This window comes from Homo sapiens, chromosome 3 (genome assembly GCF_000001405.40).
Source record: "Homo sapiens chromosome 3, GRCh38.p14 Primary Assembly".
In the NCBI taxonomy this organism is placed as follows: Eukaryota; Metazoa; Chordata; class Mammalia; order Primates; family Hominidae; genus Homo; species Homo sapiens.
This window is the reverse complement of record NC_000003.12, coordinates 114,166,527-114,180,088: the sequence shown is the minus strand read 5'-3', so window position 1 is coordinate 114,180,088 and position 13,562 is coordinate 114,166,527. Positions and strand designations below refer to the sequence as shown.

General features: G+C 40.1%; 1 protein-coding gene across 4 annotated transcripts in view; it reads left to right on the top strand.

Moving 5' to 3' along the window:
• The window catches only part of DRD3 (dopamine receptor D3), a 71,828-nt gene that overhangs the window by 19,319 nt on the left and 38,947 nt on the right, over positions 1–13,562 (top strand). For 2 of the 4 annotated variants that reach the window (NM_033663.6, NM_000796.6), the window contains exons 1-2: positions 1,037–1,432; positions 8,062–8,366. In NM_033663.6, the coding sequence (NP_387512.3) occupies positions 8,097–8,366 (270 nt within the window). In that variant the 5' untranslated portion in view covers positions 1,037–1,432; positions 8,062–8,096. 4 annotated transcript variants of the gene reach the window in all.

Here is a 13,562-nt window from a genome sequence, read left to right as displayed (position 1 = left end):
GTTAAGAGAATTAGGTTGTTTAGATCCAAATCTTGGGTCAGCCACTTGTTAGCTGTGTGACTTTCAGACATTATACTAACCTCCATAAGCTTTAATTTTCCTATCCATAAATTAAGGATGGTAAAAAATAGTACCTGCCTTGTAGGGTTGTTGAAAGGATTAAAAGGAGCAATGCATTAAAATGACTGGCTAAAAGTACATGCTCAATAAATGATGGTTGTTATCAATAGCAGTATTTAGACCTTGTTGATGCTGCTGCCTTCTTTCTCAGCCAGCAGAGGTCTCCATCATAGTCAAACAAGAGCTAGCTTCCCTATAACTGCACCGCAGTTGCCAAGCACATCCACTGTTGGCAGAGAAAACAGCCGAAGAATTACCACACTGACCAAACAGAGGAGAAAAAAAAGAGAGAGAGAACAGGAAATGGTTAGGATGCCACAGTAAAATGTAAGATGAACAGGTGACCATAAGTTAGGATTGTTTATGTTCTACTGCTGACTTTCACTGATATTGTCCTTGGTTGCATCTCACTTTAGCTTGTTCCAAACCAGTTTTAAAAAAGGTATCTATGTATATATCACAGAGAAGCAGTAAGAATGAATTGGCAAATATTTATGAAGTCCTCTGAAAACAAGAAGTGCTGCTAAGTAAACATTTAACATTTCTTACAGTATTAAGCTTATTTCATCCTTATTGCCAGTTATACGCCATGCCTCAGTTTTGCTACCTTTGTAATATGTTTCCTTTAACCTTCTTTTCCCAGACAGGCTTACACCTCCAAGTTCAATTATCCTGTCAATTGTGTTTTAAATTGTACTGATTTCCATTAACCAATTGTGGTATCAATTTGATGATCTGTTCCTTCTGAACTAATCATCTTTACACCCACCAAAATCTGGAAAGGCAATTAAACTGAGGAAGGTGAGAGTTATTCAAGAGAAATTAAAGCATAAAGGTAAAAACAGTGGAAAAACTAAGATTAAAAAGAGCACTGAGGAGAAAATATACATGTACTAAAAAGCACAGTATCCGAGCAGATAGAGAGACAAAGAGGAAAAGAGAGCGAGGTAGAAAACGGATACTGCCTATGCCTACTCCATCCCTCTTTCAGCACCAAGGACAGAACCTCTGAGCGGCTGACCCAAGCAACGCTCAGTTTAGGGTCCCTCCCAAATCCTCTAAAGAAAACGGATACATTCGAAAGCAGCTATGAAACATGCACTAAGGTCTAATAGGGAAGCTGGAAAAGCAGCACTCAAGTAATTTCACCTTAGAGGCAAAAATGGGTGATTTCTTTCTGTTCATTTCATAGTTTCTGAGTCCTGAGAAAGGCAAAGTTTGCTTTGCTTGGGTATGTCTGCTGTCAGTAAATGGCTGCAGGAGCCGAAGTGGTAAACTCCTCGGTCTCCAGAAATCAGAAGAAAATTTTAGGGTAAGTAATTTTTCTTTTCGTTTCTAATTTAGGACATAGTATTTTCCTCAAGGTTATTTAATCAGCTTGGGGTTCTGTGGATCTCTAAAAATATGCATTAAAACTCAATATCCACTCTTATTTAAAAACCAAAGCCCTGAGGAAATGGTTTTCTTTTTCTTCTAAGTGGTTGGACAGCAGAAACCTTTTATATTCCTTTTTCTTTTATTTTTTCCCCCAAAATTGTATCCTTGTGGGCTCTAGAAGCTATATCAAGGAAGAATTAAAAGATAGAAAACAAAAAGCTGTTATTATTTCTAGGATTTGTATGGAAGTTGATTGTATTCCTCTTAAGGATTTTACTTAATTGTAAGGGTCTGTTATTTTAAACTCCTCAATTCAGCACCCTGGCAATTCAGAGCTGAAGGTTTGGAGAGGCACTATTTTCAATGGTCTATTTAAAGTCAGGCTGTTTCTAAGTCAGAATCCAATTATTCCCAGCAGAGATATGTAGTACTTGAGATGATGATTGTGTATGTTTCCTTTGATGATGGTATATGATTTTTAGGGTATTGTTATTTAATTGTGAGACTTCCATTACTTGCTGTAGCTTACTGGGGCAACAGAAGTCATTGCAATTAGGTATTTGTTCCAGTTCATGCATTTAGTTTAATTGAATACCATCAAAATACATGCATGAATAATAATGCAGCAATAGCAAAGTGAAACTTGGATTCTAAACTCATTGTGCATGACTATTTCACTTTATAGGTGAAGCCTTTGCTTACTGATACTAAAAGGTCTGTAAAATATCTGTCCTTAGATAAGAGTGAAGAACCACTGCTTGACATGGCATTAGGATGTCTTATAGTCAAGGAGAAGTAGAGACAATGTGAGAAAGATTCTTACTCGGCACTCATTTATTTGTAGTTGAATATTTTCAAGGGTCTGTATGGCTAGCAGTGAGCAAGGGTATTGAGCAAGGAAAATACTGACAGTATCCAAATGGGTGCCTAATATTAAAGCATCCATACAGAAGGCTATTTGTTATGGAATATACATTAAAGCAAATACCGAACAGTTTCTACTCAATATCAGATTCAATTTCTAATGCATTGAAGTTTGTCATCAATTAATATTTGCTTATTGATTGATTTATTTGCTGAGTTCCCCATTTTATCTCTGATTAGAATGGTAGGATGCTCAGTCTCTAGAGGTTGTGAAGGAAAGTGAGTATGCTCTGCTTTACTAGTCAGGTTTAATGAGGGGAAAAAACTGTTATCTTAGCTACTCAGTAACCAGCAATAGTTTTTCTCTGTACATTTACCAACAATGTAAATGTGCCCAAATACATAAATATGCTATGTATTGCAATCCATTTGTGAATCTTTTTCAGGAAAATAGGCAGCAATTTGCAAGAAGAAAGTAGCATAGAAATGCTAAAGACTATCTCTAATAATAATAACAATGTAACTCCCACTGGCTCTATGAGCAGTGTGCACCTGCATTACTTCACCAAGCCTAGTCAGATGATGTGACATGTTCACATACTCTGAACAAGTGAGATTGTAAAATTAGTACCCATTTCACATTTGTCTGCCTCACCCCAAAAAGTGGCATAGTTAAGTGGCATAGTTAAGAACATGAGCTCTGGAATCAGACAAATCTTGGGTTGAATCAACTCCATCATTTACTGGTTTGTGATCTCAGCAAGATATTTAACCTCTCTGTGACTCACCTTTTTTATCTAGAAAACTTGATAGGATAATAGTGCTTACCTTCTTCATCAGGTTGTTGTGAGGTTGAATGATGATAATGCTTATAAATTTTAGCTATAATTATTAATTTTATCAGGCAATATAGCAAGTCCGAATTACAGCCCAGACCAGAAAAGCTCTGGCGACTGGTGGTCAGGAGTCGTCTGAGTAAAAGATTAGATGTAGCAACAGCCAGAGATCTGTGAAATGAGTGAAGATGTGGTCATGGAACCCTGTTACTGAAGCGTTTTGTTCTGGGTTGAGTAAAATCCATCTCAACTCGGGAATGACAGTTTTGTGGGTTTTTTTTTACTTTGAGACAGGATCTTGCTCTGTCACCCAGGCTGGAGTGCAGTGGCACAATTATAGTTCACTGCAGCCTCTAACTCCTGGACTCAAGCAATCTTCCTGCCTCAGTCTTTCGAGTAGCTGGGAATACAGGCACATGGCATCACACGCAGCTAATTTTTCTTTTCTTTTATTTTTGCAAAGATGGAGTCTCACTATGTTGCCCAGGCTGATCTCAAACTCCTGGCCTCAAGTGATCCTTCCATCTCAGCCTCCCAAAGTGCTGGGATTACAGGAATGAGCCCCCAAGCAGGGCTGGGAATGACTAACGTCAACTTCCATGCTGCTATAAGTATTAAAATGCATGTAAAGTACTCATACTTGCCACACAGTAGTAGCCCAGATGTAGTTGTCTTCATCTTCATTTGTTTTCTTACAGAAAGAGAACAAATAATTAAAACTCTGTAAGTCTTAATGAGGTGCTAAGGAGGAACCCCACGAATGTTTCAGGAAGACTGTTATTCAGCACTGAGGGATTGAACATCAGCAAAGCAGGACAAATGTCATAACTGATGGGGACCTGACAACTCTCTGTTCCCCTGCCTTTTTAAATAGGTTATGCACTCACTCTAAGAGATGCCAGAACAAACTATAAAGACCAAGATAAATCAATACTTTGTAAGGCATTTAAAAGCTCATTAAAATGTGTAAGTAGTGTTATATGTAATGAATCTTAAAAGACTGACGCCAAGAGTAATCTTCTATTTCTCTGCCTTCTCTATTCTTTTACCTCCTATCCACTTTTAACTCCTAACACTGTTTGCTGGACTTTTTCCTCTGCCAAGAGGTTTGACAGCTACCTAAAAATAGTATAGCTGAATGCCAGTGGCTAATTATACAAAGGGAAACCCTCAACTCTGAAAATCAATTCTGAGCCTGATGTTGGAATCACAGTTGCATGGATTTCTGATTTCATATTTATTTTTTCCACATCTGATCTTAGATCCTTTATAGCAGAAGGTGGGTTAAACCGTGATTGTTCAGGTAGTTTCTGATGAGTTGTGGATGTGGGAGATGAAAGCAAAAATGAGTGAGATGCTAGATTACTCTCTGTCTCTCAGCTAATTGTTTCAACTTCCTCCCTGCTTAGATTTTGTAAGCATGAATGCCATCATGAATATCGTCCTGAATGTTTAAGCATGTCATCATGAATGTTGACATGATGACATTAAGAATGTCTTCATGAATGTTTAAGCATGAATGCCACCATGAATGTCAGTCATCATTTCCAAGTTCACTAGATACTTTACAATTGCAGCTTATTTAACTCTTCACCTATTCCCACTTTCCTCTTAACAATAAAAGCAACTATATTTCTAGTGCTATGTGCCAGACATTATGCTAGAGTGATGATTCTTCATGGGGAGAGCAATTTGCACCCCCGCTCCAGGATATGTGGCAATGTCTAGAAGCATTTTTTATTGTCCCAACTTGTGGGGAGGGGTATGCTACTGGCATCTAGTGGGTATATGTAAAGGATGCTGTTAAACCCCCCACAATGCACAGGACAACCTCCTCAACAAAGAATTATTCAGCCCAAATTGTCAGTAGTGCCAAACTTCATGTATATAATCTCATTTAGTCTTCATAATAACCTTATGGAATGGATATGATTATCTCCATTTTGCTGATGAGGAAACCAGCCTATCATTGTAAATTACTTAGAGAGTGATTGAGTTAATGAATTCTCTAGGCTCTTTGCTTCTTCTTACCTGAGACCCGTTTCCTATCTGTTAGCATATCTAACAGAGGGGAAAAGAAAGAAGAAAGCCCAGCTCAGTTCTGTGTTATATAAGCAACTCTGGTTTGAAAAAAAAAAAAAAAATCTAAGCAGGGAGGAAGTTGAAACAATTAGCTGAGGGATAGAGAGTAATCTAGCATCTCACTCATCTTTGCTTTCATCTCCCACATCCACAACTCATCAGAAACTACCTGAACAATCACGGTTTAACCCACCTGCTGCTATAAAGGATCTAAGATCAGATGTGGAAAAAATAAATATGAAATCAGAAATCCATGCAACTGTGATTCCAACATCAGGCTCAGAATTGATTTTCAGAGTTGAGGGTTTCCCTTCGTATAATTAGCCACTGGCATTCAGCTATACTATTTTTAGGTAGCTGTCAAACCTCTTGGCAGAGTAAAAAGTCCAGCAAAAGAGTAACAAGTATCCTAAGGTTTTATGCCTCCCTCTTACGTGGCAGGTGAGAGGAGGCTAAGACATTATTCACCAGTTGCAGACCCCAGAAAAGAGGGATTCTGGCCACTGTGTTCCAAAGTGGCCCAGTTGTGAAAGGGAAGACATTTGGGCCTCAGCCTGCCTTAAAAGTGGGAATATCCTTGAACAATCAGAAAGCATTGTATTTTTCCAAAAGCTCTTGGCAGCAGCGGTGCTATCTCCAGGGTAGCGGCTGCCCTCCTCTGAATAATGAGAAAATTATAATTATTATCAAGAATTATTATTATGTTTTAAAATACATTGAGTGCAAACAGTGTGCCAAGATAAAGGACAATTTTTTTAAACAATTCTCTAAATTCATTCCAAGTTTGTCACCCTTTCCCAAGTATTTGTTCATTTTAACTCTTTCATATTTCAGGCTGAAACATTTCAAAGTGAGGTACAAAATGACAGCCATGATTAGGCCGGTCTCCTAATCAAGGGAGAGCTACAGATACCTGGCTTGAGGGCAAATTCTGGCCACCAAGTCAGCCTCTACTTTTGCCAAGGCCTGAAGAGAGAGTTCCCATAAAGGTCTATATGTACCATGCTTAAATATTTTAAAGTTGTAACCAACAAGCCATTGAGTAAAATGTTTCATCCTCCCACCTTGACAAATACACCTTCGTAACAACATGGAAGGCCAAGTTTGAATTTAAGATTCCTGGACCTTTCAAAATTCCATACAAAATGTGATCATACAGGAGAAGCTGGGCCCCCACCCCTAATCTGCTTCAGGGACCCTGGCCTCTTCTCTCCCAACCTCAGGCTACATAGAATCTATTTGTCTGAGCTCTAACTGAAAGCCACCACTTGGCCCCAGGAACCCTACACATTTATGGCACAGTCTCCCGTCAGAGTGAGAGATTTAGAATGAGACCCGTGATGTCTTGGAAACAGGCTCTGAGCAGTTGGGTAGAGAATTCCCTGAGTGTGGTCTAGACAGGGTTGTAAACTTAGTGGACCTTCTCCTTGGCACTGTGGGAGGTTACAACATCATTCTATAGAGGTTAGAGGCATAACCAGTAGAGGGTGCCTTAGTCCTTTTGGGCTGCTATCACAAAATACCATAAACTGAGTAGTTTATAAACAACAGATATCTATTTTTGACAGTTCTGAAGGCTGGGAAGTCCAAGATCAAGGCACCAGAAGATTCAGTGTCTGGTGAGGGCCTGCTTTCTGGTTCATAGATGGCTGTCTTTTCACTATGTCTTCCCATGGTGAAAGAGATTAGCTAGCTCTCTGGGTCTCTTTTATAAAAGCACTAATCTTATTCATGAGGGCTCTGTCCTCATAACCTAATCACCTCTCAAAGACCCCCACCTCCTAATACCATCATATTGGGAATTAGGATTTCTACATATGAATTTAGGGAGACACAAACACCGAGACCACAGCAGAAGACCAGAGTGGACTCCTCTATAGCACCTCCTCTAGAGCTTGGGGCAAGAGTCACTTTTGCTTGGGTTTCAGGGTTACTCCCTAAGTCACAGGCCTTATGTCTTCCCCTAGCCTTCAGAACTGTGAGACAACAAATTTCTGCTCTTTATAAATTACCCAGACTCAGGTGTTCTGTTATAGCAACCCAAAATGGACTAAGATAGATGGGTTTCATTATTCCCACATTTTACATGGGAAGAATCTGGAGCTCAGAGAGGTAAAGTAATATGCATAAGGTCCCAGAGTTAGGAAGCAGCAGAGCTGGGATTGTAATCCTGCAACAGCTTCCCATCTCACTCAGAGTCCAAGCATGGTACTTTCAATAGCCCTGCACAATCTGTCTACCTCACACCCTCCTATTCTACTCCTGCCTCACTTGGCTCCAGCCTCACCAGACTCCCTCCTATGACTTCTATGTGCTAGCCCTTCCTGCTGGCCCGTGTTGTTCTCACTGCTCAGACTGCTATCACATCTGATAACTGCATGGTCTGCTTCCTGATCTCCTCCAGGTCAAGACTCAATTGCTGATTTCTCCATGAGGAGTTCCTGATTATACTCAGATACTCACTCACATACGCACAATCTTCACCCGTTACTTACCTGCCTCTCTGATTTGTCTCCAATATACGTATCATTATTGAACACACCACATCTTTTATTTATCTTGTTTATTATCTGTCTTCTCCTCTAGAATGGGAGCTTCAAAGGGAAGGAATTAAGATTTTATCTGTTTTGTTCATTGCTCTATCTCCAACTCTCACAACAGTGCCTACTATATAGAAAATGCTCAATAAATATTTGCTGATGCAATAAATAAAAAAATGTAACTAAGCAACCAAGCCCCAAAGAGTCTGATTTTATTAATATTGTTTTCTGTCTCCTCACAGGAAGCCCCTTGGCATCACGCACCTCCCTCTGGGCTATGGCATCTCTGAGCCAGCTGAGTGGCCACCTGAACTACACCTGTGGGGCAGAGAACTCCACAGGTGCCAGCCAGGCCCGCCCACATGCCTACTATGCCCTCTCCTACTGCGCGCTCATCCTGGCCATCGTCTTCGGCAATGGCCTGGTGTGCATGGCTGTGCTGAAGGAGCGGGCCCTGCAGACTACCACCAACTACTTAGTAGTGAGCCTGGCTGTGGCAGACTTGCTGGTGGCCACCTTGGTGATGCCCTGGGTGGTATACCTGGAGGTGAGTAGACTTCAGGTGCATGTTGTCTCTATGACTGTGCTAGTACTTGTCTTCCCTGAGTTCTGGCCTTTGGGGCTCAAAAGACTCCCCAGACAGTCAGGAACTGAGGAAGGAAGGAGAGCTCTCATTCTCCCTGTAATGAGAGAGTTAAAGCTCTGGAAAACAGTCACCATCCTGTCCCTCATCCACATCAGAACCAAGGAGCTGAGAATGATTCTGTTCATGGGTCTCCAGTGTTCAGGTGACTGGATTTGAGTGACGGGACTCTTCCTAATATGGCCTAGAGTTTATTCTCTGTGCCAGACATGTCTCAATGACATGGTGGGCTGGGTGAAGCAGTCCAGAAGACCTCTTCACCAGTGTTTAATGTATATGAGGGTGAGGGTGTGCAGGAGGGATGTGAGGCCAGGAGGAAAAAGGAATTATAGAAAAAAAAAATTAGTGAATGTAAGGGAAGATAGAAAGAATGACCAGCGAACAGATCAGACTTCTTTCGATGGCTCAGTCCCTCTTTGCTCTTTCCTCCTGGGTACCAGTTCTCCATAGACTCTGCTACCAAAGGAACAGACAAAACCCTCAAATGTATATTTTCCATGTGTCCATGAATAGTACAGAGCCTTTGCCAGAGAGATAGTGCAGCAGATCCTGGTGAATTCTTTTGGGGAGAAACATTTATTAAATTTGAAAGTATTTTCAATTGGGAGTGCAAAACAGAGCCAGGGGGTGGTCAAGACAAAACACCCATTTGCTAACAAAGAAATCAGGGTGACCATATCTGTTCAAGAAACAGATATTCTTACCAGGAAAACATGCAATTACTTAAGATATGTTTTTTTAAAAAAACCTGAGTATACTATTAATATTTCTCCTCTGCACTGTGTGTCATTTTAAAGAGGTATCCAATGAAGGATCAAAATGATGCTATGATTAAGAGAAATTAAGATTCATCAAATTAATATCTCAGTTAATATTGATAGTAAAAGTGACAGTTAATTAAGTATGACATATCACGGGAGAGCAAAAACCTTGTACATAGACTGCCTGTGCTAATACCTTTGTTAAAGATGGCTGGGAACTAAAATTAGACTTATGATCTCAAGGGGGAGACATAAAGAGAGAAAAAAAGAAAACAGAGAAATAAAAGGAAAAGAAGAAAAACAACTAGGCTGTGTAGATCTAAAGGCTAAGGGAATACTTGAGGAAAAAATATGCATTTATTCTTCCCAGTTAGGATAATCCTAGTTGGGAGGGTGAAGGGTCTTATAATTATCTTGATTTTTCTGTCAACCCAATTAGTCTGAGTCAACCTTGAAGTCAGAGACTAGATCTTTACTCTTCATCTCCTGTAGCCTAAACATACTACCTGGCACAAAATACATGCTAACTGCTATAACATTTGATATATGAATGATGAAATGAATCTTCTCTGTAATGTATGCATTATATGGGCTATTCCTGCTAATACCATCTGCCTCTCTATCTATTGTTACACTCAGACTTTTTGGGGAGAGGACTTTTGGGGACGAGCTATTTGTTATTTTACATCCAACAATAATGAGCCTGAAAAAATTTCGAAGCATGTGATATTTCTGTTCAAGAATGAGGCGCTTTAGGTGCAACCAGCCAATATGAATTGGTCAATAACTCATAGCACTGTCATCATCTTCCTAAAATGTTTTTGTCCATTTCTATGTGTTCCAAGGAATGTTAAGTCCTCCAGAAGGATGAATGGCAGGAAGAAATGTAGGCAGTGGACCTTCACTCTAATGAGCATTTTTATTCCCTCTAAGATAAAACCAGGCTTTTGGTGTCTGTAACAAAGCCACTCAGGGGCATTTGTTGGCTATGTATTTGTGATTATTTCTAGGACTCTGGTTGGACCATACTGGAAAACATCTGTATGTACTGGTTTAGGAGATAGACATTGTGACTTTTCCACACTAGAAATCCATGGCACCCCTTCTAGCCATACCTTCTGATATACTGGTGCTCCTATTCTACTACTGAGCATAGAAGGGCAGGTGAGACTATAGAAAATGACAGGAAATCTTGCCAAAGGCCTTAAAGAAATCACTGTAGTAGTACATATAGGTTTTCTTCCATGAGAACAGCTCTGATGAAGTTTTTGGTTTCTCCCCATAAAAACCATAATACTATGCCCTCTGTCCAACAGGTTATTTCATGTAGGTATTCAGTGATCAAGATCATAATTTTTACATTTGATCTTAACCAAAAGGCTGAGAAGCAATAAGAGCATGATTTTTAAAATCTATATTCACACAAGGAAGATTCAGGGGAGCAGAGACGTCTCCTCACTGGCTTTAGGACCTCTTTTTGGTCTTACCAATTTGCTTCAAGACCCAGTCAATGTCTTGAAGCGAGTTGGTAAGACCAAAAAGAGGCCCTAAAGCCAGTGAAGAATACAGAGGACCAAGTCTCTCCATCTTACATCAGTCTATACTTTTCTTAATCTCAAATGTTTTCCTATCTTTCCTTAGAGGCAAATGAGGCACCTTAATGAAAGAAAAGAGCACTTTGAGCCCTTAAAATATGGGCTATGAATACATAAATCCATGTTCCTCAAGAAGAAGCAAAGTATTATTCTCACTAACTTGTCCTAATGATAGTACAGTTTGAGTAGCTACTCTACTAATTACTTAATTATACCTAAGAGCTCCCTTTGGAAAAGAAAAGGGTGCAATGTTGACCACCGAGACTGCTGTAGGCTTGAGGGCCCCCAGGAAGATAAGATGTACATGAGAAGAACACCACTTTGGGATCCAAAAGATTCACCAGATTCATAGCCGCATGTGCTTTGATTTGAACACATCCACCTTCTTCGAAGGAAAATTGGCTCATTTTGCCAGACACCAGTATTTATGAGGTAGGAATGTTTTGGCTGTAAATATTGGAAACCTTGATTAGTTGTGGTTTAACTGCATTTAATGTTTTTCAAATAACCAGAATTCTGGAGGAAAAGAATTATTGTGTTGGTTCAGCTGCCCCATGGTGTCATCACAGACCAGACTTTTCCATCCTTCCTCTTCACCATCCTTGGCAAGCTGGCTTAGTTCTTTATCTTGCCATAGCCCCCAGCACCATGGCAGTATTCAAAAATAGGATGGGTAGGGACAGCAGGAAATGAGAGAGAGAGAGAGAGAGAGAGCATGCACTTTCCCTGTAGTAGCTTAAAGCATGTTTCTAAGAGGTTTCACATAAGCTTAATTGGCCAGAACTTAGTCATGAGGCCACCTTTAGCTGCAAAGGAAGCTAAAAAAGAAAAAATGAAAACGTGTGTTTTATTTATAAAAGATGTAGGGGTGGGGAATTGCTCTGACGTAGGCAATAAAGTATCACATTTCCTTTATTGGAATTCACTGGGATGAATGTCATTTCAACACAGTGTCATGCTGTGAGAAAAAGACTCAGAACTTGGAGTCAGAAGACATGGATTTAAGTGCATAAAATGGAGGTGACAACAACATTTTCCACCCTGAGCTGATGTTAGACTCAGCTGTCATCAACTGATAGAGTATTTTGATAACCAAAACTTTTGATCTATAAATATCTCACTTAAGACACTTTTAATTATAAGTTTAAAACAGCTTAACTCCAATTGGCTTAAATGAAAAAACAGAATGCATTGGCTGTCATACCAGGAACTTTATAAAGTCCTCTGGTAGGGTGGGCTGCAGGCACAGTTCCATCAGGGCACCAGCTCCATTTCCCTACAGTTCTCTCAGCTCTGCCTTTTTCCATATACTGACCTTACCTGCAGGCAACAGGCTAAGCTATAGGTCTCACATGTCCACACCACACCATTCACAGCAAGAGAGAAAATCCTTTTCTTAGAATTTCTAGTAGAAGTATCAAGATGTGCTCTGATTGGACTGGCTTGTGGCACATGAGTTCCAGCTTGAAAAATTGATTTAACATAGGTTATATGTTTCTTCTTTGGATACTGCCCAGCGATCTCATAGATTCACAGTGGCATCTAGGGACTATTTATTGAAAAGATAGAAGAGGATAGTCAGTAAGTGGGAACCACAGTCAGCTTTCATTGGTATCATTCTCATCTTTAAGACACACAGGAGCCTTCACTTGGGCATATATAAGGGGGCCCACAGGGACCAGTCACTGACGTGCTTCAGTATTCTCTGTCCTCAAGCCTGGCAGATAAGTTCAGGACAAAAACCAAGCAGGTGACCTCACAGAAGATTATATTTCAGAGGGCTTCTGGCTTGGCTATCTGCTTAATTCAGTTTGCAGCATTTTCTCAACTTTTCTGTACCATCCCAAATAGTTCTGTCTCAGATTTCCTCTCAAGATTTTAATTTCCTGCTTTACCGTCTGCACTCCAGAGCTTCCTCTCCAAGCACAAACTTCTCATTTTGTTCCACTCAGTGAAGCACCTTTTGTGATGTTTAAAACACTTTTATCAGGATAGAAAGGCAGTATAAGCGGCCAGGGGAACATTTGGAATACTAAACTCAGACTACTTGGGTCCCAGTGTAGACAGGAGGAAAAACTTGAGGATTAAGAAAGGTAGTCAAGCAAGATAGAATAGGATGAGTTCAGGCAAGGAAACGCACCACAGAAAAAGCGATCGAGGTCGGACTGTGATGAAAGAAAAGAATAGCAAAATTTTGGGAAGGGAAGAATCTTTGAGTTTTGTAATGATATCGATTATTAAAAATAAAGAAGTGGGTTTTTTTAAAGGAAAGTTTTACCACAGCTCAAAAAACCCCAAATGATAATTTAAGACCTCCCTACTGGAAAACAAAGACAGGAGATTCTCACGATCTCGTCACCAAACTCTGGATTTTGATAAAAGTCATAGAATATTAAAGCTGGAAGGGCTTGGAGATTATTTTTGCCATCATTTCCACAGTGTGATCCAACCACAGGAAATTCCTGGCCATATTCTACTGACATGGTTTCTCTGAGGATGAGTCTTGGAGTCTCATATCCAAATGAGCTCCTCCATACTTCTTATGCACCTAAACTTTGAGCAGCTCTGAGCTAAACGTTCATTAGGGGGTGTGTTAATCCATTTTGTGCAGCTACAACAGAATACATGAGGCTGTATAATTTACAAAGAACGGATTTATTTCTTACAGTTCTGGAGGCTTGGAAGTCTAAGATCAAGAGGCCTCCATCTGGGAAGGGCCTTCATGCTGTCATCCCATGGTGGAA